Source organism: Homo sapiens, chromosome 17, assembly GCF_000001405.40.
Source record: "Homo sapiens chromosome 17, GRCh38.p14 Primary Assembly".
NCBI classification, from domain to species: Eukaryota; Metazoa; Chordata; class Mammalia; order Primates; family Hominidae; genus Homo; species Homo sapiens.
Window position 1 is genome coordinate 81,014,109 of NC_000017.11, and position 22,868 is coordinate 81,036,976.

At 55.8% G+C, this 22,868-nt stretch overlaps 1 protein-coding gene and 2 long non-coding RNA genes across 35 annotated transcripts in view, besides 6 other annotated features; 1 reads left to right on the forward strand and 2 right to left on the reverse strand.

The window, feature by feature from the left end:
- Positions 1 to 3,860: 3,860 nt before the first annotated feature.
- Positions 3,861 to 6,810, reverse strand: LOC124904078 (uncharacterized). Of its 2 annotated transcripts, XR_007065935.1 has the most exons (3): positions 4,564 to 4,666; positions 4,338 to 4,481; positions 3,861 to 4,240 (listed from the first exon to the last, which is right to left on the reverse strand). It is a non-coding gene; the product is annotated as an uncharacterized LOC124904078 (long non-coding RNA). The 2 variants fall into 2 exon arrangements; XR_007065934.1 differs by having other exon boundaries at positions 4,338 to 6,810.
- Positions 9,754 to 9,813: an enhancer, noted in NCBI's record as "active region_12953". NCBI's record gives its function as "activates an Ori minimal core promoter by ATAC-STARR-seq in GM12878 lymphoblastoid cells {active_cell/tissue: GM12878}" and the evidence as "EXISTENCE:reporter gene assay evidence [ECO:0000049][PMID:35858748]".
- Positions 15,025 to 20,611, reverse strand: BAIAP2-DT (BAIAP2 divergent transcript). Its single transcript, NR_026857.1, has 2 exons — positions 20,457 to 20,611; positions 15,025 to 19,290 (listed from the first exon to the last, which is right to left on the reverse strand). It is a non-coding gene; the product is annotated as a BAIAP2 divergent transcript (long non-coding RNA).
- Positions 16,408 to 17,016: an enhancer, noted in NCBI's record as "H3K4me1 hESC enhancer chr17:79004316-79004924 (GRCh37/hg19 assembly coordinates)". NCBI's record gives its function as "activates a minimal SCP1, AML or CMV promoter by ChIP-STARR-seq in naive H9 embryonic stem cells {active_cell/tissue: H9 hESC(naive)}" and the evidence as "EXISTENCE:reporter gene assay evidence [ECO:0000049][PMID:30033119]".
- Positions 17,017 to 17,624: an enhancer, noted in NCBI's record as "H3K4me1 hESC enhancer chr17:79004925-79005532 (GRCh37/hg19 assembly coordinates)". NCBI's record gives its function as "activates a minimal SCP1, AML or CMV promoter by ChIP-STARR-seq in naive H9 embryonic stem cells {active_cell/tissue: H9 hESC(naive)}" and the evidence as "EXISTENCE:reporter gene assay evidence [ECO:0000049][PMID:30033119]".
- Positions 20,679 to 20,988: a silencer, noted in NCBI's record as "silent region_9115". NCBI's record gives its function as "represses an Ori minimal core promoter by ATAC-STARR-seq in GM12878 lymphoblastoid cells {active_cell/tissue: GM12878}" and the evidence as "EXISTENCE:reporter gene assay evidence [ECO:0000049][PMID:35858748]".
- Positions 20,679 to 21,855: a biological region, named in NCBI's record as "H3K27ac-H3K4me1 hESC enhancer GRCh37_chr17:79008768-79009763".
- Positions 20,860 to 21,855: an enhancer, noted in NCBI's record as "H3K27ac-H3K4me1 hESC enhancer chr17:79008768-79009763 (GRCh37/hg19 assembly coordinates)". NCBI's record gives its function as "activates a minimal SCP1, AML or CMV promoter by ChIP-STARR-seq in naive H9 embryonic stem cells {active_cell/tissue: H9 hESC(naive)}" and the evidence as "EXISTENCE:reporter gene assay evidence [ECO:0000049][PMID:30033119]".
- BAIAP2 (BAR/IMD domain containing adaptor protein 2) overlaps positions 21,043 to 22,868 on the forward strand; it is an 82,284-nt gene continuing 80,458 nt past the window's right edge. For 20 of the 32 annotated variants that reach the window (NR_169574.1, NR_169577.1, NR_169578.1 and 17 more), the window contains exon 1: positions 21,043 to 21,200. Coding sequence is in view for 25 of the 32 variants with exons in the window: in NM_006340.3 (NP_006331.1) it covers positions 21,147 to 21,200 (54 nt within the window). In the remaining 7 variants the exon portion in view is untranslated. Of the gene's footprint in view, positions 21,201 to 22,754; positions 22,854 to 22,868 lie in introns of all 32 variants that reach the window. The other 12 variants (NR_169579.1, NR_169576.1, XM_011524193.2 and 9 more) reach the window with 1 other exon arrangement.

A 22,868-nucleotide genomic window follows, 5' to 3' on the forward strand; every position in this document is an offset into this window, starting at 1 on the left:
TCCCAGCACTTTGGGAGGCTGAGGCAGGCAGATCACTTGAGGTCAGGAGTTCAAGACCAGCCTGGTCAACATGGTGAAACCCCATCTCTACTAAAAATACAAAAATTAGTCGGGCATGGTGGCGTGCACCTGTAATCCCAGCTACTCAGGAGGCTGAGGCAGGAGAATCACTTGAACCCAGGATGGGGAGGTTGCAGTGAGCCAAGATCACACCACTGCACTCTAGCCTGGGCAGCAGAGCCAGACTGCATCTCAGAACAAACAAGTAAAAGGATGGGGAAAATATATCACAGAAACCCTAATCAAAAGAAAGATGGAGTAGTTGTGTTAATATCAGGCAATGTATATTCAAAACAAATATCAACAGGGATAATGAGAGACATTACTCAATAATAAAAGAAGGCAAAACAATCCAAATTGTGTATTCACCTAACAATAGAATTTCAAAACACATGAAGCAAAAACTAACAGAAATGAAAGGTAAAACAATTTCTTACAGTTAGAGACTTTCACCCTCCTCTTTCAGTATTTTGTTGTTGTTTTTAGTCAGGGTCTTGCTCTGTCACCCACGCTGGAGTGCAGTGGCACAAACATGGCTCACTGAAGCTTCAACCTCCTGGGCTCAAGTGATCCTTCTGCCTCAGCCTCCCGAGCAGCTGGGACTATAGGTACATGCCACCACACCTAGCTAATTTTTTTTTTTTTTGAGACAGAGTCTCGCTCTGTCGCCCAGGCTGGAGTGCAGTGGCGTGATCTCGGCTCACTGCAAGCTCCACCTCCCGGGTTCACGCCATTCTCCTGCCTCAGCCTCCTGAGTAGCTGGGACTACAGGTGCCCGCCACCTCACCCGGCTAATTTTTGGTATTTTTAGTAGAGACATGGTTTCACCGTGTTAGCCAGGATGGTCTCGATCTCCTGACCTCGTGATCCGCCCGCCTCGGCCTCCCAAAGTGCTGGGATTACAGGCGTGGGCCACCGCACCCGGCCACTAATTTTTTTATTTTTGTAGAGACGGGCTCTTGTCATGTTACCCAGGCTGGTCTTGAACTCCTGGGTTCAAGTGAACCTCCTGCTTTGGCCTCCCAAAATGCTGCGATTACAGGCATAGTCTACTGTTCCTGGCCCCTCTTTCAGTAATTGAGAGAATAAATAGAAAATCATGAAGGATATAGGACACCTGAACACTGTTAACTGGTTTGACTCAGCTGACATTTATAGAACATTCCACCCAGCAACAGCAGAATACACATTCTATTCAAGTGCATATTGGACATTTACCAAGACATATCATGTTCTGGACCATGAAATAAACCTTAACTAATTTAAAGGAATTGAACTCACACAAAGCATGTTCTCTGACCATAATATCAATCCAAAAGCCAGTAACAAAGAGCTATCTGGAAAATCCACAAATATTAAATTAACCTGTGAGTTAAATAGAAAATCACAAGGGAATTTAGAGGCTGTTTCTAACTGAAAGAAAATGAAAACTAAACATATTAACATTTATGGATTCTTGCTAAAACAGTGTTTAGAGGAAAACTTAGAATATTAAATGCTTATGTTAAGGTAGAAGAAAAGTCTGAAATCAGTTAGCTAAACTTTCACCTTAATTAATTCAAAAAAGAAGAGCAGATCCAAAGCAAGCAGGAGAAAAGAAACAATAGTGAGTGGACATCAGCAGAAATGAAAACAGAACATCAGAGAAAAATCAGTGAAAGCAAAAACTGGTTATTTGAAAATATCAATAAATTTGAAAAGCTTCAAGCTAGAGTGATCAGGAAAAAAAGAGAAGATACAAATTACAACATTAGCAATGAAAGTGGGAACACCACCCCAGACCCTATAGACATGAAAAAGATATTAAGGAAATATTACAGCTGGGCACGGTGGCTCACGCCTGTGATCCTAGCACTTTGGGAGGTCGAGGCGGGTGGATCACAAGGTCAGGAGTTTGAGACCAGCCTGGCCAAAATAGTGAAATGCCATCTCTTCTAAAAATACAAAAAAAATAGCCGGGCATGGTGGCAGACACCTGTAATCCCACTTACTTGGGAGGCTGAGGCAGAAGAATCACTTGAACACAGGACGTGGAGATTGCAGTGAGCCACGATCACGCCATTGTACTCCAGCCCGGGTGACAGAGTGAGACTCCATCTCAAAAAAAAAAAAAAAAAGAAAGAAAGAAAAAAGTAAATATGAAATATTACAAACAGTTTTATGCTCATAAATTTGACAATTTAGATTTAATGGGAAAATTCCTTGAAAGACTCAAACTGCCAAAGTTCACTCAAGATTAAATAGGTAAACCAAATTGTCATATGTCTATTAAATGCTACCAAACATTTAAGGAAGACTTAATACCAATTCTACACAAACTCTTAAAGAAAATAGAAGAGGAGAGAACACTTTGCAATTCCTTTTATGAGTTCAACATTACCTTGACCCTAAGACCACATAAGGCCATTACAAGAAAAGCAAACAGACCAATATCCCATATGAACCTAGATGCAAAATCCTCAACTCATTATTAGCAAATAATCCAGCAATATATAAAAATGAGTCTTTATCCTGAAGTAATCTATTTATTCTGGGACAAACAAAATGAGGTTTATCCTGGAAATGCAAGGTTGGTTCAACCTTCAAACATCAGTATCATTCATCGTATCAACAGACTACAAAAAAAAGAATCTTATGATATCTCAATAGATGCAGGAAAAGAATTTGACAAAATTCAACATCCGTTTGTGATAAAAACTCTTAGCAAACTATGAATAAAAAACAACTTCCTTAACTTTTCAGAAGGCATCACAAAAACCCTACAGATAACATCACACTTAATGATAAAAGATTGGATGCTTTCCCCATAAGGAAGGAAACAAGGCAAGGGCGTCTGCTGTCACCACATCTATTCAGCATCATACTGGAGGCCCCGTTCAGTGTAATAAGCAAGAAAATAATAAAATGAACACATATTGGGAAGGAATAAATACACAACTGTCTCTATTTGTGGACAGCATGACTACATAGAAAATCTCAAAGGAGTCTACTAGAACAAATTAGAACATCACAGAATACTAGGTCAGTGTACAAAATGAAATGTGTATTTCTATTTGCTAGCAAGGAACAATTGGAAACTGAAATTAACATTTTATTTATTTTTATTGACTTACATTTTTAGAGACAGAGTCTTCCTCTGTTGCCCAGGCTGAGTGCAGCGGCATGATCACAGCTCACTGCAGCCTCAAACTCCTGGGTACACGTGATCCTTTGGCCTCAGCCTCCTAAGTACAGGTATGTGCCACAATGGCCAGCTAATATCTTTTTTTAGAAACAGGGTCTCACTATGCTGCCCAGGCTGGTCTTGAACTCCTGGGCTCAAGCGATCTTCCTGCCTTGGCCTGCCAAAGTGCTAGGATTATGGATGTGAACCACTGCACCCAGCCTATTTTATTTTTATTTTTTTAGAGATAGGGTCTTGCTCTGTTGCCCAGGCCGGAGTGCAGTCATGCAACCATAGCTCATGGTAACCTCAAACTCCTGGGCTCAAGTGATCCTCCTGCCCCGGCCTCCTGAGTAAGTGAGACTACAGGCATGCACCACCATGCTCAGTGCATGCCTTTTTTTTTTTTTTTTCTTTAAGGTGAGGTCTCCCCGTGTTTCCTAGGCTGATCTGGAACTCCTGGGCTCAAGTGACCCTCCCACTTTGGCCTCCTAAAGTGCTAGGATTATAGGCATGAGCCACTGTGCGTGGCCTGAAATTAACATTTTAAACATGGGGAAACAGACTTCTACTTCCAAGTAGGATGGAGTGCAGCAGATCAAGGCTCCCACTAAGAACTAGAAAGGCCAGGCAAAAATATAAAAATCATCTCTTTAATGGCATCAGAAAGCTACAGAAGCAACAAAGACTAAAGGGGTTAAGCCTCAAAAGAGGAGGGTTCCGTAGGATAAGCAGACCATCTGCAGCCCGCAGTTCCCAAGTGCTTGTTCGTGCTGGGATTAATGACACACGGGAGATTCGAAGGGCAGCTAATCTTGGCAAGAATGAAGACGCGAAAGCTGATCTCTTCTTCAAGACTGTGGCAGGACTGGAAGCTGCGTGAAAACGCTGGTTGAAGAGCTAATTTGAAACTTCCGGAAGGCAGAGCAGAATTGTTTACCTCGCTCAGGGCTAAGGAAGGGGAGGGCTCTAGTTGTCCACAGCAAACTGTCTGTTAATTTCCTGGAGGATTAGTTCCTAGAAACAAGCAACACAGAGATAGGCTCACCGAAAGGGCAGCTTGTCCTCAGCTCAGCTCAGTCCCTGATTGGAGCGAGGAGGTCACCCTCCTTACCGAGGAAATGGGGGACCCTCTCCGCCGGCTGGAACACAGCGTCATCCAGAGCAGGCTCTGCCCATCTTTTCCTTAGCCGGGTAGTAGAAGTGGCCTCTGCCTACTGAACCGTGCTGCTGTAGGGCACACGCAGCCACAGAGCATCTGTGAACAAATGGGCATGGGTGTGTTTCAATACGCTGCGTTCACAAAAGCAGGCGGCTGCCCCCCGCTGCAGTTTGCTGACCCCGGATCTGGAGTCTCCAGGCTTCAGCGCATGACATCCAGCATTCAGAGACCACAGGGCCAAAAATCAAGAGGAAAAATAGCCCGTGGAAACGGATGCACACAAAGCCAGAGAGTGGAAGTCGCAGCAGAGAACCCCTGAACTCTCTGTGAGTTTTTGTTTAGAGTTCGAACTCTGTGCGTTTTTGTTTAGATGGAGGAAGCAAGGGAGAAAGTAGATGAAAAGGTGGAGATTTTTCAGCTGAGAACTGGAATCCATATAACACAAAACTTTTTTTTTTTTTGAGACGGAGTTTCACTCTTGTTGCCCAGGCTGGAGTGCAATGGCGCAATCTTGGCTCACCGCAACCTCCGCCTCCCAGGTTCAATCGATTCTCCTGCCTCAGCCTCCCTAGTAGCTGGGATGACAGGCATGCGCCACCATGCCTGGCTAATTTTGTATTTTTAGTAGAGACGGGGTTTCTCCATGTTGGTCAGGCTGGTCTCGAATCCCCGACCTCAGGTGATCCGCCCGCCTCAGCCTCCCAAAGTGCTGGGATTACAGGTGTGAGGCACCGCTCCCGGCTTATAACACAAAACATTTAAGAATCTGCAAACCCCAAGTTTTCCTGCCATGGCAGGTCTGAGCACAAGGCAGCCGGGAGAGGTTTAATCCTGGGTGAGTCAGGCCGAGTTCCAGTTATCACACTGAGAATCACCCAGTAAATGAAGCTGCTGTGACCAAAGTGACCAAAGGCTGTTTAGTACCTGAAGGTCTTGGGAGGCCCTGGACCTCATGGAGAGAGAACCATAGAGCGTGGGGAGGTGGGGGCAGAGGCCCCCTGGGGCTGAGCCTGTTCTGAGCAGTTCACGGGGGTCTCCTTTTTTATCCTTCTCCTGTGTGCCTGCCTGGGGGGCTTACTGTCAGCTAGCGTGTGGGGGCAAAGGGCAGACAGGTCCACACAGGTGTTCAGCCTCTTGCACAGCCCTGGGGAAGCGGGGATCTTAGATTCTCACCCCACTCCGGGGAGGCGGGAGCTCTGTATCACATGGTCACTTCTGCCCAGCGGGGCCAGTGGCTGGAGCTCAGCGAGGGGACTTGGGTGCAGGCTGCTGTGGAGGGACTGAGGACCCAGGTCTTTATCCTTGGGGCAATGGATGTCAGCACAGGGCTGCCGCAGGGGACTTCAGTCAGATCTGTACTTGGAAAACCTCACTGAGTATGGAGACGGGTTTGGACAGGCCAAGGGCTTCTGGGGATCAGGTAAGGGGCCTTTTCCCAGGTCCGGGGTGGAGGGGTCCGGGGCCCGGAGGTGGGTAGACAGATTCAGGAGCTCAAAGTTGACAAGACATGGGGGCTAGGCTGGGGGTCAGGGGAGGAGAGTGAAGGAAGAGGAAACAGAAAGGGTAACACCAAGGTTCCCAGCTGTATGTGTGGGGATACGGAGGGACCATGGCCCGAGGCTGCGACCTGGCAGGGGGTCTGCTTGGCGACTGTCAGGTAGGCGGTTGGAGCCACAGATCTGGAGGTTAGCGAAGAGGTCTGGACAATACATATTAGTGGCTGGGCACGGTGGCTCACGCCTGAAATCCCAGCACTTTGGGAGGCCGAGGCAGAAGGATCGCTTGAGCCCAGGAATTCAAGACCAGTCTGGGCAACATAGCAAGACCCTATCTCTAGAAAAAAACTTTTAAAAAAATTAGTTGGGCATGGTGGTGCACGCCTGTAGTCTCAGCTACTCAGAAGGCTTAGGCGAGAGGATTGCTTGAGCCCCGGAGGTTGAGGCTGCAGTGAGACCAGATCACGCTTGGGTGACAGAACAAGCAAGACCCTGTCTCCAAAAAAAAAAAAAGAGAGAAATACGCATATGAGAGCCATCTGAGTCTACAGGGGAGAGTGCTAAGCTCCACCCTACCTGTGCCAGGGCCCACGGCTCCTGTTGAGAAATGGCCTTAGGAGGCCTGGGGCTTACTGAGAGGGGCAAGCTCGTCTAGGAGATCCAAAGTTTAAGGACATCACCTGAAAGCAGTGTGTGCTCGCGGGCACTCAGGCGCCCGTCTGCGGTGCAATCGTGGACAGGATAGCCTGGGCTCCACCGTGCTTGGTTAAAGGGGCCGAAGGAGGCCCCAGGAGGTCAGCTCAGGGGGTTCCAGCTTGCCCCTCCTGGGGGGGGTGGTCTTCGTTGAGGTTTGGTGGAGATGCTCCTGGAGGTGCACCTTTGCTCCACAGCTGAGGCTGGGCCTCACGTTGGGAGCAGCCGGCAGCATTGAGAGCTGCATTTGGGGGGCGGGGAGGCAGTAACAGCAGCCACACCCAGGGGCAGAGCCAGCTGCACCCCAGCCAGCACAGGGCCTGCGGTTGGACTAAAGGCTGGTCCTTGGGCCAGGCTGGCTCCGGTGTTTCCCTTCAGCTCTCAGGTTCTCTCCAGCCTTTCCGGAAACCTACTCATCTCCCAGTTTCCTGCCAAGAAACCCCATTACTACTGAAGTCTCAGACTCTCGACTGCCAGGCCTGGTGGGTGAAGCTGCCTCCAGCCGGGAAGAGGCCTTGGAGGCGCCGGGAGGGCCCAGCTTCCCCGTGCCCGGCCGCGTGGCCTTGGGAAAGCCCCTCAGTGCTCCGGGCCTCCGTGTCCCTTTCCACACCATGAGGCTCCTGGCATTTCTCCTGTGGCCTGTGGGGTGTCACTGGGGCAGGAGTGGGCCGGCTCCCTGGCTCCCGGCCACCACCCCTCAGCATGGTCTGCTTGGCAGCCAGGGACAGTCTGGGCTTCCACCCAAAGCGTCTGCAGGGAGCAGGTGGGGACGTCCATCCACTGTGCTGTGTCCAACCGCGTCTGTCGTGTTTCTCCACGGAGAGCACCGGGCAGTCGAGGGGGTGCAGGGACTGCGGGGCCTCCCTACAGACACAGTCTGGGTGCCTGGCAGCTCAGGGACCTCCTTTCACACCCTCTACCACCTGCAGATGCCCCCCACATGTGTCTGTCCTCGCTGCTTCTGAAACTCCCCTTGGGCCAAAAGGTGCCCCTGGGTTGGGTCCAGGGAGGCCCCATGTAGCTGAAGGAGCTGAGATTTGGGCCAAAAACCTGCAAGGGGAAGGCAGGTGTAGGGTGTGGACTCCACGGCGTCCTCCAGGCTCACTTCCCCGATGGAAACTGAATGGGAGAACTGACATTTCTGGGAGAATTCCGGCTCCTTTGAAAAAGGCGGCACGCAGAAGACGCTCAACACCATCGCCACCAGGAAATGCAAGTCAAAACCACCAGGAGGCTGGGCGCAGTGGCTCACGTCTGTATTCCCAGCACTTTGGGAGGCCGAGGTGGGTGGATCACCTGAGGTCAGGAGTTCAAGACCAGCCTAGCCAACATGGTGAAACTCCATCTCTACTAAAAATACAAAAATTAGCCGGGCATGGTGGTGGGCACCTATAATCCCAGCTACTCTGGAGGCTGAGGTATAAGAATCGCTTGAACCCAGGAGGCAGAGGTTGCAGTGAGCCAAGATCGCAGTACTGCACTCCAGCGTGGGCGACAGAGCGAGACTCTGTCTGAAAAACAAACAAACAAAACCACCAGGAGATCTGCCTCACACCTTCAGGATGGCTAGAATTAAAAAAACAAAAACAAAAAACAGAAAACCAGTGTGGTGAAGCTGTGAGGAACTGTACCCTGGCTGGCAGGGAGGTAAAATGCTGCAGCCGCTGTGGAAACCAGTTTGACAGTTTCCCAAAAAGCTAAACATGGAATTTCCATAAGAACCAGCAACTCCACTCCTAGGTACAGACCCAAGCAAGTATCCATCCACTGCCAAATTGAGAAACCAAATGTCAGACATCCCTCCCATGGGGAGCTATCCAGCCATCAACAGGCGGGAAGTTCTGATACAGGCCACAGCGTGGATGAACCCAAGGACATCATGCTCAGTGGAAGAAGCCACATACTGTGTGGTTCCAGTCCCACGAAATGTCCAATGGGCCAGTGCCCAAGGACAGATGCAGGGGAGGGACCACCAGGGCGGGGGAGCGGCCACCAGGGCAGGGAAGGGACCACCAGGGCGGGGGAGGGACCACCAGGGCGGGGGAGTGGCCACCAGGGCGGGGGAGGGGCCACCAGGGTGGGGGAGGGGCCACCAGGGCGGGGGAGGGGCCACCAGGGCGGGGGAGGGGCCACCAGGGCGGGGGAGTGGCCACCAGGGCGGGGGAGGGGCCACCAGGGCGGGGGAGGGGCCACCAGGGTGGGGGAGGGGCCACCAGGGCAGGGGAGGGGCCACCAGGGCGGGGGAGGGGCCACCAGGGTGGGGGAGGGGCCACCAGGGCGGGGGAGGGGCCACTAGGGCCAGGGAAGAGCCAGTGATTGCCAGTGGCTGGGGTTTCCTTTTGGGGTGATGAAAATGTTTTGGGGGCCGGGCACGGTGGCTCATGTCTGTAATCCCAGAACTTTGGGAAGCTGAGGCGGGTGGATCACCTGAGGTCAGGAGTTCGAGACCAGCCTGGCCAACGTCGCGAAACCCTGTCTCTGCTAAAAATACAAAAATTAGTGGGCGTGACGGCAGGCACCTGTAATCCCAGCTACTCGGGAGGCTGAGGCAGGAGAATCGCTTGAACCCAGGAGGTGGAGGTTGCAGGGAGCCAAGATCGCGCCACTGCACTCCAGCCTGGGCGACAGAGCAAGACTCCATCTCAAAAAATGTTTTGGAACAAGGTGGAGTTGCCACTGTACATCATGAATGTGCTGAATGGCACCACATTGGACTGAACAGAACACTTTAAAATGGGTAATTTTATGTTATGTGAATTTTACCTCAATTTAAGAAAAAGATGTCGTAGGGCCGTTTGAAACGCACATCAGAAGGAGCGAATTTCCTGCAGAGCTGAGCCTCCCAGGGCGGCCACACCTTCCCCACACGTTCCCTCGGCAGGTTCCAGGCGGAACACACCGCTCGTCTGCAGGCGCTTGGTGGTGGAGCTGTTTCACACGCGGGAGCTTCTCTTCCCCGCGCCAGCCCAGGAGGAGGGTGTCACTCCTCCCTTCCAAAGACCAGCGACAGGACAGGAGAAGCTTCTGTGACTTTGCCGGGATCAGAGAGAGTCCAGGATTCCAGCCTAGTCCTATCAACCCTGTATCTTGGTGCTCCACCTGCCAACCACCCAGATGCAGGGGCCAGCACAGGACGGCCACTATCCGAGTCTGTGACCTCTCCCTTGTCCCTGATGTCACACCCCACTTGCTGTGGCCTCTCTATGCTGGTCTCCACAATGCTCAGCCGTCTTCGTCCGGGACACTGCACCCCTTCCGCCGCGCAGCCCACCAGCTACCACTCCCAGGCTGTCCACCAGGTGGCAGTGAAGGTCACCGATGTCAAGTTCGTGGCTCACCCTCCCAGCCCTGCACCCACCCTGGCTGCAGCAGAGTGGTGGGGGCCCAAGGAGCCCTCCAACCTCGTCAGGCCAGGGGGCTGGGATGCCAGGGACCACTTCTCCTGCACAGCAAAGCTTATTATAAAATCCAAATGCGGCTGGGCGTGGTGGCTCACGCCTGTAATCCCAGCACTTTGGGAGGCCGAGTTGGGCAGATCGCCTGGGGTCAGGAGTTCAAGACCAGCCTGGCCAACATGGTGAAACGCCGCCTCTACTAAAAATACAAAAATTAGCTGTGTGTGGTGGCGGGCACCTGTAATCCCAGCTACTTGGGAGGCCGAGGCAGGGGAATCGCTTGAACCTGGGAGGCAAAGGTTGCAGTGAGCCAAGATCGTGCCACTGCATTCTAGCGTGGGCGACAGAGCAAGACTGTCTCTCAAAATAAATAAATAAATAAAAATATATAAAACCCAAATGCAGCCAACACCGTGGCTCATGCCTGTAATCCCAGCATGATGGGAGGCCAAGGAAGGCAGATCACTTAAGTCCAGGAGTTTGAGACCAGCCTGGGCAACATAGCGAGACCCCATCTCTACAAAAACACAAAACCTAGCCAGGCGTGGTGGCGCGCATCTGTAGTCCCAACTACTCAGGAGACTGAGGTGGGAAGATCCCTTGAACCCAAGAGTTCAAGGCTACAGTGATCCAAGATCTAACCACTGTCCTCTAGCCTGAGCGACAGAGAGAGAGCCTGTCTCAAAACAAACAACTCCGGCCGGGTGCAGTGGCTCATGCCTGTAATCCCAGCACTCTGGGAGGCCGAGGCGGGCGGATCACGAGGTCAGGAGATCAAGACCATCCTGGCTCACATGGTGAAACCCCGTCTCTACTAAAAATACAAAAAAATTAGCCAGGCATGGTGGCAGGCGCCTGTAGTCCCAGCTACTCAGGAGGCTGAGGCAGGAGAATCGCTTGAACCCGGGAGACAGAGTTTGCAGTGAGCCAAGATCGTGCCACTGCACTCCAGCCTGGGCGACAGAGCAAGACCCCGTCTCAAAACAAAACAAAACAAAAAACACAACAAAAAAACTCCAAATGCACCTGAGTCCCAAGTCCAGTCTCCCAGGCTTGACGCAACAAGGGCAGGGCCCCTTCCAGCCAAGCTAACCCAGCCTCTCCTCCAGCACCTCCAGCCTTTTGGAGACCCTGCCCTGCCCAAAACCACTTGGAAATCACCAACTCAACTTTCCTTGGAACGCACCAGGGCACTCCAATGACGCCGTGTCCTAGCTGGAGTGCCTCGGCTTTTGCAATCCTGTGCAGAATCAAGGTTTTCCCTTGAGCCAAAGAATGAAGAATTACGGCTGAATCCAACACCACTGGCTCCAGGGCCTCTGAAAGCCGAGTCCTGAGGCCGCACAAAGGACTCTGTTGGCTCCTGCAGCCGCAGAGAAAATCTCAAAATCTGAGTGAGAATTAGCGGCAGATTCCAGGGATCAGCAGCCAGCTCTTCACACCAGCCTCGTCTCTGGGCATTGGAGCCACGCCGGCAAAGGTCACGTGCAGCCAGTTGGACGAGGGGTAAAATGCCACCCGAATCTGTTTAGAGTAATTGTTTTCCCCCAGTGGATGGAATATTCTTTTCATCTGGGCAGCTAGGAAACAGCTAAAGTTTTCCATGAACCTCTACAAAGATTTCTGTGTCTTCCAACTTTGTGAGAAGAAAAAGAACTTGCTGGGGGAAATGATATTCTCGAGCTTAACACTCAAATCATGTTTTCTCGAAATCATGTTACTTTCTGGCCAAGTATGCCGGCGAAGCCACTGAGACACGCTCCGCACATCTTTAGAACATAAAGGCCCTGGCAGTAGCTTGCGGCGCTCTTTGGAAAACTGCTTGGCTCTCACTGGAAACACAGCCACGCCTCCTCTGGGCCCCGGTAGCTCTGGCGTTAAGTCGGCTGGAGACTGGCTTGGCCACGGCCGCCATCTCTAGCCAGCCCTGGGGCAACTGCCCCCGGCTGCGTCCCACCCTGCCCGCCTCCTAGCCCCTAGCCAGAGGCAGCTGTGTGGCTCCGTGGCTGGGCTGGGGCGCTGCGGCTCTGCGCACGATAAGCCAGGGAGCTCCTTCCTTAGCACTACTGGCTCCAGGAGCACCTATTTAGGTAAACTCCATTCCTGCAGGTGTCCTCCCCGCTACACATCCAGCCTGGCCCCTCGGCCAGTTTTGCCTTCACCCTGTGCAGTTCATCAAGACATCCCCCTTTCATCAAAGCTCTTCTAGCACATTCTGAGGCGAGCCATAGAGGGACATGAGGGTAGTTACGTCTCATCAAAGAGAAAGGGACCTCATATTTCTGGAGCACCTACCATGCACACGGGCTGACTGTGGGCTCCCATGGCCGGTGGGACAAAGGGCCCCAGCTGCTGTGTGGTCTGATGCTGTGCAAATGAACATCTGTGCGAGTGGCCACGCTTCCCCATCGGAGCAGCCCTGTCGGGTCAGCGCGGCCAGAAAGCTGCGTTGCACTTCCCCTGTTAGGGTCTAAGGTGGAAGACCCCTTCCAGATGTCCTTGGTTTCTAGATGGACAAGAAGAAATAGCGTGTGGCTCTCAGGTTAGGAGAAGGAAGCAGAGTGCCAGGAAGAGCCGGGAAGGAGGAGGCACCAGGGCACCTGAGGCTGTCACTGTTCCACCTCCGGGGGTACACGTCTGGACCACTCATGACAGGCCCCACTGCATCACGACCCCAGACAGGAGACGGCAGGGCAGCCTCAGACTCCCCTGCCTAAGTTCAACTCCGAGCACCGGGGCAGGCGTGCTTCCTGCATGTCACTGGGGAGGCCATGCTCTCTCTCGTGTATCTGGACTCACGACGTCCACCCGGCTCGTCTGTATTCCGTCTGGGTGGACGTGACACTGGGCTGCTCCACTGGGAAAACACTGACCAGTCATCGGAATGTTTACGGAGACAGTGTCAGGCAGCGGGCCAGGGAAACTCTGTCCTCGAAGTCCCCCACCCTCTAGGCACCTAAGTGGGGTTTTATAGGATCTGCTGCAAGAAGATAAAGTGAGATTTTAGGGCTGAAGACAACATTTCAAAATCTGGCTTTAAATAAACATGGAATAAAAGAGAGAGAGAGAGAGCGCGAGCAAGAGTGAGAGCGCGGAGCCTCCAGCAGCTGAAATTAGAAGCAGCCAGCCCCGGGCAGGGAAGCCATCTGCGCGGCGCCCAGCAGCATGGAGACGTCTGGGTCCTCCCTGACGGCATGCGAAGCGGCACCCGCAGGTACAGCTCTGCTGTCTCCTGTCTGCAGGGACCTGCGGGAACACACTGAGGTCTTGTTTTCCAGGTGTCCTCCAATTTCAGATTCTGAAGAACAGATTCCCTCCGCTCCCATCCAGAAATACCTTTCAGATCACTTTCAAGGCAGTTTAAGTCATTTAAGAAGCAGAGTGATAAGAAAACAAAGACAACGTTTCAGGCGGTAAATGAAGACTAATTATACTGAGCGTTAAGCAAAGTTCGTCTTTCTTCGTCTTTGCTCAGGGAGGTTGAGCCGAGTACGGCCCCCAGTGCCAGGAGGGGCCAGTGCTCAGTGTCCTCACACAGGTCCGTCTTCCTGCTCACCCAGTCACTGGCCACTCTCACCCCATGCTGGGTTCAGAAGATGGCGAGTGGGCCTGGGACTGGGGCGGGCTCCCACTCCTGCCCGGGGTGGTGCTGCGTTGTGGGCACCCGTGTCCCTCCTCCCCCTCCACCCTGCCCAGCTCCAGACGTGTGGCTGAAGCGGCCAGCTCGGCCAGTTCGTCCCGGCGCCACATGTGTCCTTCCTCCGGCCCCAGACCCCAGCCTCACCTGGGCCAGTGCAGGAGAGCCCAGCTACGCTGGGTGCGCTTCAGGCTGTCACCTGCCCGAGTTATTTAAATCCACATTGTCAGCTAATGTATTCTAATAAGCAAGTGGGTGACCGGGCTGGCAGGCTCCGGATGACGCTGACATATAGCAAGGGGGGGAGGAGCACGGAGCGAAACTCTGAGACTCACTTGCGCCCCGGTGCTCACCCCCGCACTGCCTCCCACAGGCACCTGGAGTCACGCCACGCGATGTGAGCTGGATTATATAAGGGGGCTTGTTGCTGGGGAACCTCTCCCCGCCCACCCCCGCCAGGGCAGGCTCTGGAGGGAGGCCACATGTCGTCTGTCCCCACCACCCTCAGAAGGAAGCCCCTCTGGCCTTTCTGGCCTGGTCTGTAGGGAAGCTCTGTCTGTAGGCCGCCTCACTTTGAGGGCTGAGGCTGGACCACGGCAACACAGGGTCAGGAAGGGCCCGAGAGGCCATGCCCACACTCCTCTGCCCATGTGTTGCTCAGAGCAGGCAGGGTCTCCCTGCCTTAGAGACAGTGGCCTCATCCTGTCCTCCAGAACTTCCTCCCCATCACGGGCCACGTACTCTCTGCGAGAGGAGAGAGGGGACATCAGATGCCCGGATGGGCAGCAATGCATCTCCCTGGCTATGGCCAGAAGTCTGGCCAACACTATGGCTGCAGGACAGCCATGAGCCACGCTGGGTTGTGGGCAGCAAACCCAAGGCACCATCTGCCAAGGAGGCCAGGTGAGAACCACGTCTGGGGTGGCAGAAGGGCTGAGCCGTCAGCAGGACCCTCGCGCCTCACAGCCCCAGCTCCACTGCGGGCAGTCCAGCCGCAGCCACAGACGGGGGAGGGGGCGAGGTGGGGGGCGGGCCCACGTGCCTGTCCTCGGGATAAGGGGCCACTCCACAGGGTGCTGGCCCCCTGGGGCTCTCTGTGATCAGCAGCAGCAGACCACAGGGGCAACAGCTCCATCCACTGACCCCAAGGTGGACAGAGTGGGGACCTGGGGGCCAGGACGAGATTCCAGGGTGAGGCACAGGTGACGCCTTCGGACTCCTGCAGGTAAAACTGGAGGCCTGTGCAAGATCACTGCCCATTCCCATGACAACCTTAACTCTAGCACATTTTTCATTCATGCAATTGTTACAAAGATACCGCCACCCCCCCATCCCCCCAGCCCAGTTTTCCCTTTGGTGACATCTTGCATCAGTACATGTGTTTATGATGATCAATGAATCAATGCTGCTACATTATTATTAACTAAAGCCCATACTTTATTCATATTTCCTCAGTTTCCCTCCAATGTCTTCTTTCTCTCCCAGGACCCCACCCAGGATCCCACGTGACATTTAGGGATCAGCTGTCTCCAGGTTCCTCTAGGCTGTGACAGTTTCTCAGACTTTGCTTGGTTGTTTTTTGGTTTTTGGTTTTTTTTATTTTGAGACAGAGTCTCATTCTGTCACCCAGGCCAGAATGCAGTGGCATCATCTCAGCTCACTGCAACCCCCGCCTCCTGGGTTCAAGCAATTCTCCTGCCTCAGCCTCCCGAGTAGCTGGGACTACAGGCGCCTGCCACCACGCCCGGCTAATTTTTGTATTTTTAGAGATGAGATTTCACCATGTTGGCTAGGCTGGTCTCAAACTCCTGACCTTGTGATCTGCCCGCCTCAGCCTTCCAAAGTGCTGGGATTAAGGTGTGAGCCACCGCGCCCAGCCCACTTTCCTTGGTTTTGATGACTTGGGAAGTTTTCAGGAGGGCTGGTCGGTTTTTCTGTAGAGTGTCCCCCTGTTGGGATTTGCCTAATGTTTCTTTTCTTTTCTTTTCGAGACAGGGTCTTGGTTTGTCGCCAAGGCTGGAGTGCAGTGGTGTGATCACAGCTCACTGCAGCCTTGACCTCCTGGGCTCCAGTGATCCTCCCACCTCAGCCTCTAGTGGCTAGGACCACAGGCATGTGCCATCACGCCTGGCTAATTAAAAAAAAAATTTTTTTTGTAGAGATGGGGTCTCACCATGTTGCCCAGACTGCTCTTGAACAATCTTCCCACCTCGGCCTCCCAAAATGCTGCGATTACAGGTGTAAGCCACTGCGCCCGGTCTGCCAGTGTTTTTCTAATACTAAGACAAGGGTTATGGGTCTGGGAGGAAGAGCCCAGTGGTGAAGCGCCCTGTCACATCTGCCCGTGTGACCTCTCGGTGATGGTGCCAGCCTTGACCTCTGGGCTGAGACAGTGGGTCGGGCTCTCCACTGTGGAGACGCCTTGCCTACCTCCCACTCTGTGCTCTCTGGAAGGAAGTCACCATGTGCAGCCCACACAGAAGGGGCACGAGCTGGGGCCCCCTCCCTGTGCCCCTTACTTTTATTTATTTTGAGACGAAGTTTCGCTTGTCGCCCAGGCTGGAGTGCAATGGCACAATCTCGGCTCACTGCAACCTCTACTTCCTGGGTTCAAGCGATCCTCCTACCTCAGCCTCCTGAGTAGCTGGGATTACAGGTGCCCACCACCATGCCTGGCTAATTTTTTGTATTTTCAGCAGAGATGCGGTTTCACCATGTTGGCCAGGCTGGTTTTGAACTCCTGACCCCAGTTGATCTGCCCGCCTCAGCCTCCCAAAGTGTTGTGATTACAGGCGTGAGCCACTGTGCCCGGCCGGGCCCCTTCCTTTTAAATGTCAGCCTCTGGAGTGACCATCTGTGTTGGCTGGGAGCTCTTCGGAATGTCCCATCCAGTTGCTGAGGCTAATGATCACCTCTCAGGTGCGCTGGTCCCATTCTCTGCGCTGTTTATGTCACTTTATGCCTGGACTCCTCCCAACAATGTTCTGTCCTCCACTTAGAGGGTGCTCAGAGAGGCTGTGACACCTGCCCCCAGCAACCAGCCAGTCATCTAGCCCAGTGGCCCCCGGGCCCGCCTATGCCAAATGATGCCCCCTCGGTGCCGCCCACCCCTAAATGCACACCATGCCTGCAGACGTCAGCACTCGCCCTGTCCCACTTGCCCTGGTGGGAAACAGCCTGCAGTGAAAACGTCGCTCTGCCTTTTATGCTGGACAAAGCCGAAGTGTGCTGGAGGTGGCTGAGCCAGGCTTCCCGCGGCAAGGAGCGGGACTCCTGACCCCACAGCCCTGGCTCCCACCCTCGATGTGCTCCTGCCTTTGCCTTCTTGCTGGTAACGCTGCCATTGGTGCTGGTAACGCTGCCATTGGTGAAGAACACGGGAGCCCATCCAGCCCATCCAGGAAGCAAAGAAACGGTGCTCCAGACACCATGCGGATAGCTTCACCCGCCGACCCCGGCCAGGCCCAGCTGCTCCCACAGCACCTGGCATGGAGGGGGAAGTGAGCAAGGGCAGGCGGGGAGAGAAGAGGCTCGCCCTCCTGGCTCTGCCCCAGACACCCGTCCGATAGCACTCCAGTGCCTTCCGGTCTCTCCCGCTCTGGAACTTTCTGGTTACTGATTACAAGTGCTTTAATCCAGGAATGAAAAGGAAGAGGAGTTCTGATTGGGTGGACCCTTCTCTTGGAGAGAAGGCAAAGCTGCCAGGCAGAAGGTGGGAGGGGGAGGAAGAGGAGAGAGGAAGCTCCCTTGACAGGCATAAAACGTCCCTGTGATTGCGGACAAGTGGCTACTCTCAGGCCACATTCAGCCGAGGCTGGGTGAGGCTGGTCGGGAAGAGGGAGACGGAGGTGGAAGCGGGTTCAAGTTTTGACGGGTGGTCACCTCAGAAAGGGCTCCTTCTGTTTAGCAAAACTCCCCAATCCTTCGCCTGGCTTGCCAGGAGAACAGCTTGCTTGAAAAGCAAAGGCTGTCATCCTGTAATTAAATCTGAGACCCCCCCCCATGTGACGTTGAGATGAAGCCACTTACATAACGCGACTAAAAATAAGCTGATGAAGGCTGCACACTTACACTCTCTGCCTCCAGCCCTCCTCTCCCCAGCGGCCCATCGTGCTGGCTGACCCAGGGTCCGCGTCACCGGCTGTGGCGTCGGGTTCCTGTCTGAAGTCACTCTTGCCTCCGGCCCCGCTCGGCGCCCTGTGTGCATGAGGGCCCATCGCTGGTGCCCGGGTTGCAGACCCCTGGCTCAGAGCTGGGGTGCTGAGGATCCCCCAGCCCGCCCAGGCGAGGGTTGACGCTTATGAGAGGAGACCTGCTGGGTACCAGCTCCATCTGCCTCCTTCTCAGTGACTCCTGACGAGCTGCTCATTTACACACACCTGCTCCCACCCCCACCCCACAGTCTGGATTGCGAAACCTACCGCACCCCACCCCCAGTGCAGGAAGAAGGTGACCCTGGTCTGGGGTGGGGACAGAGAGTCTGGGAGGGGGTGGTGGCTGGCAGTCTCGGTGGCTGGCGACGCCTCTTCCGCTCTTCCTTCCTGGGAGGAGGCGGGCAAGGCGAAGCCTCTCCGCTCAGTCGATGGTTTCCTTCAGGACGTCTCATAGAGGTGTGGGTGAGATCCCAGGTCTGGGCCGCAATTTCTAGCCACGCTGCCCAACCTTCAGGCAAGCAGTCAGGTTCCACAGCTACCCCACCACACTCTCAGAGTCGAGGGGAACAAGAAGAGGGAGTGGTCTGTAAATGCGTCGGGACAAGAGTGCCCTCCTAACTCCACCTGGAGCTGGCGTCAGGGCGATCTCTGGATGCCCAGCCCATAAGCCTGGCCTGTCTCTTCCTGGGACCCTTGGTACTCAGCACCCCCAGCCCCCAAGCCCCCTAATACCCTTTAGAAAGGCTTCCCCATCAGTGTGAAAGACCTCACAGGACGCTGGTGAAGGCGAGCACAGAGTGCCTGGGGAACATCCTTGGTGGAGAACTTCCTGGAGGCCACTGGTGCAGGGCAGATGCCAGGCGGGCACCGAGTTTCTTGCCCTTGTTCTGCATTCCTAGGTATGAGGACCTCACCACGTCCTGCTCTGCGCCTGTCATCGGCCGCGGTGTGTCTCCTCAGGTGCCGAGCTGGTCACTTCCATGTACAGCATGGATAACCGTCTTCTCAGGGAAGGCCTCCAGCCCGCATTCAGCCACCTGCCCAGCCGCCGGGCGGAGGGAGCAGGCTCAGGCACCGAGACTGCTGAGCCACTGGCCACCCGGGAAGCAGGCTGCGTTCTGAGTCGGTCACCGAATATGTCCCCCCTTGGACGGGAGTAGCGCAACGATGTGCAGGCCAGCTCAGGAAGTAACGCTGGGAGCTTCTAGAAGGTGGAGCGGGATCCAGGACCGTGGGAGCTTTTCCGGAGAAGCCTACCTCTCCTGTGTTGCAGCTGATGGGAGCAGCAGGGCCTGGAGAAGAACTGTCCCCAGGCTGACTCCCCTCTTGGAGTGAGGAGGCCTCCCGTGTTTGCCTGCCAGCCTCCATCTGTCATCTTGGTTCCAGCCATTCAACTTTCCTCCAGGCGAGCAGAGCTGCTCTACCCCCACCTGCTCCGTGTTGGCCCCAGACCCAACTCAGGCCAGTGGACGTCTGTCCTAGGGCTGCGTGTGAGATCGGTGGGTGCAGGGAACACAGCAGGAAGCTGGCCTAGAAGAAGGGGGTCAGGGTCAGTGGAGATGCTCCTACCTTCAGGTAAATGCCCTCATTTGTTAGGGCCAGTTTGAGCGAGCTTTCTGTCATTTACCACCAAAAGAATCCTAGAAAATAAATACACAGGGATCTACCCCCAAACACTGGAGACAATAAAGAAAAAGGAAGCAGCCAGGGCCAGTAGCTGGAAGGAAATTCAGCCGGAGGAGAGGAGGCGCGGGGCTGTGGTGGGAGGGAGGCAATGCTTCCTGAATCTTACTTCCCTGGTCTTTCCATCGGCCTGAGCCCGTGCCAGTCTGGGGATCTGCCGGCCAGCCAGCACAACTGCGTCTCCCCCAGGGGCCTGACTCGTTGAAGGAATGAATGAATGAATGATTTTGCAGGGATGGGAGGCTGGGAGACTGAGAGGTTTCATTAAACGGAAACGCTCAGATCTGGTGTTTCACAACGTAAAACAAATAATTCCTCTATGTTAGCCTAATTTATGTAAATATTTCTCCACGGGAATTGTACCGGGAGACCTGTGTGCCAACTCGGCCAGCTTCCCCGGCAGAATCTCCCCTTGGGAGGACCCTTAAGCAGGACCCTTCCTAAAAATTGGAGGCAGCTCTGACTCCTCCATTCCTCCTACAAGGTTCCCCCACCCCCTAGGGCTTTCCACCGCATGAGAGTCCTCCGGGCCCCTCGTTTCCTACTGCCCTCGACCCTTCCTTCCCGAGACCTCTCTCTCTCAGTAAACTGCCTCCAACGAGAATCTTCTGACGGCAGGAGGGTCCTCCCCGTCCCTAAGGGTCGCCCTGTCCCCAGGCCTTCCAGCAGGACACTCCCCTGTCCCCTCTCCAGATCCTCCTTCCCAGGGCCCTCCTCCAAGATCCTCTTCCCCAACCCTCCTCTCCCAGGGTCCTCCCCTCTCCAGAATCCCGGCCCCAAGCCCCCAAGCGCTGTCTGCCTGTCTGGGGTCCTCCCCAGAGTTCACCTTCTGCAGGATCCTCCCTCCAAGTCCTCTCCTCACGATGCTCCCCCGAAATCCTCCTTCTCCAAGTCGTCCCCCACTCCAGGGCCGAGCTCTCTCCAGGGTCCTCCTGCAGCACCCCCTCCCCCAGGGTTCTCCTCTCTGCCCCGAGGGGCCGGCCGGGGGGTCGCCGCCCGCCCGGCGGGCTTACCTGCGAAGCGGCGGGGTCGGGGCCTCTCCCACCTGTAAGCCCGGCCCGCGGCGTCCTGCGTCCGAGCCGCTCCCCGCCCCGCAGCGCCAGGCCGCGACCCGGCGGGCCGCCCGCCCCGAAGTGCCACTTCGCGAAGTGCCGCCTCCACGCGCGCTGCCGCCGGCGCCCCCCGCTCTCCTCCCCGCACCTTCTGCTCCTTCTTCCTGCGCCACCCCGCCCCCGCCTCCCCGCCCCCAGCCCGGCTGTTGCCCGGGCCCCCTCAGGCTGCTCCCAGGGCCCCAGCCCGCGCCGCGCCTCCCCTCTCCTCCCCCAGGATCGACGCCGCCGCAGACCAATCGCTGCCTGGAGTCGGCCACTAGGCCCCACCTCCGATCCCGCCCCCCTCCCCCTTCTCCGGAACCCACCAATGGAAAGGGCGGTGCGGGGGCGGGGCCTGGCGGTTGCCTAGCAGCGGCAGCGCCGGGCGGGGGCGGGTGGTCGGGGGCGGTGATGCGGGCGCAACGGGGGCGGGACGCAGGGGCGGGGACTGCCGCGGGGCGGGGCCTGAGGCGGCTATAAAGGTGGCCGCCGCCGGACGCCGGGCTCTGTGGTTCGGGTCCGCTTTCGTCTCCGTCCTGCTGCCGTTACCGCCGCTGCTGCCGCCGCTTGCGTCCCCCGCTCCGGTCTGTGGTGCAGCCGGGACCCAGGACCATGTCTCTGTCTCGCTCAGAGGAGATGCACCGGCTCACGGAAAATGTCTATAAGGTGAGCGCCCCCCGGCGCCGAGCTGAGCCCGCTCCGTGTGCGCCTGGGTCGCGCGCCGCCCGCGCGCCCGAGCCCGACCAGGGCGGCCCCGGGGCCGCGCGCCGGGCCAGGAGGCTGGGACTTTGGGGGTCTTCCCGGCGCGGCCACCCGGGACCCGGGCTGCTGGGGTGGTGAGCCCGGCGCCGGCCGCTCACAGGTGGCCACCCCCGCCCGGGCCCCCCCATCCCATGCGCGCCGCGGCCCGGTCAGTCCCCAGCCCCAGGCCCGGGGAGCACTCCCCGCTCCGACGGCCCTGCTCGGCCCCCGCGCGCTCGCCTTGGCGTCGGCGGGAACGGAGCCGCGCGCCGGGCCCCGGAAGCCCTCGGACCGGTCGGGGTCGTAGCACACCCGGGCAGGGCCGGGGCGGCGGGGGCGGCGGGCCCAGGGGTTGCGGCGGCCAGGACGGCATGGGGGCTGTCTGAAGGCCGCGGTCGGCGCGGTGGCACCGTGGGGCTCCTCCAGGCGCGGTTGCGCGAGCCTCGGGCACTTCATTCTCAACAGGCTTTCCCTTCCCACAACTCCTGCCCGGCGCCCATGCTGGGGCCTAAGGTGGGAGGTCGGAGCGCGGGCAGGCTGGATGGGTGGACGGATAATCTATCATCTTATGTAACCGCGGAGAGAGAAGACTAATTGTGTAGGAGGCTGACGTGCCTGCCTTTGCTTCAGATGTGTTAAGAGTGGCATCCACGTTCTCGTCTGCGAAATGACAGGTTCACATCCAAGGGCCGCAGAGCACCGCTGGAAGCCTCCCCTGCCGCCCCCTCCCCAGTCGTTTTTGTGGCTGGGATACCGACAAACAGGCCCTTGGTTTTCTCTTTCTTCAGCATCCGTTCTCGGTCCAGACCCCCACGCCTGAGCCCGGCAGCTGCCGGGGAGCATTTTCTCAGAGGAGAAACCCCTGCTCTGGGTGTCCCTGGGTCCTGGGCGATCTCTTACAGATGTGCTTTGTTTCAAAACTGTCTGCAGGTTCAGTGACAGGCTGGGCGATGAGTGGAGTGGGTATTTACCCGGCAGTCGCTGGTTCATGTTTCCTAACCGGCTTGCACCCTGCCCGGCAGAGTAACTGTTTCTGATTGTGGTAGGCGGCCAAGGCGTGCCTGGCCAGGGGCCTGGGAAGCCCTCTTAGCTCTCAGGCTTGGGAGAGCCAGATGGAGGCTTCAGGGGTGGCCCCTCTGGTTCCAGCTGGAGTGCAGGGGGCCGATTGCACTTGAATACAGCTTTCAATAAAGCTTGTGAAGTTGGGGCCGCGTCAGTCTGGAAGGTTTCTGAAGGCGGGTGTGCGGTCGACTAGATGAGTCCTAAAGCCACGTCGGAGCCACTGGGAAACAGGATTCAGGGTGACCTGAGGAGTCGGCTTGGGAAAGGCACAGGCCCTGGGGTTGTTAGGTTTGGTTTCACAGAGTCTGTGGCATACGGTTCTGGCCTTGTTGCTCTGTGGAAGCACATGTTGTCAAGGGAGGGAGGTTTATTAAATTATTAGTCATTAGCTCCATTACGACTTGTTTGTGATTGCAGAGGGTGGAAGAGAAGTACCAGCGGAACCTTTTTCCTATTTTTTCTCCTTCTGCGCTGAAACCAGAAAGCAGGAACTTTCGTGGTGAGAGTTGGCAGGGGGTGAGTACATGGAGT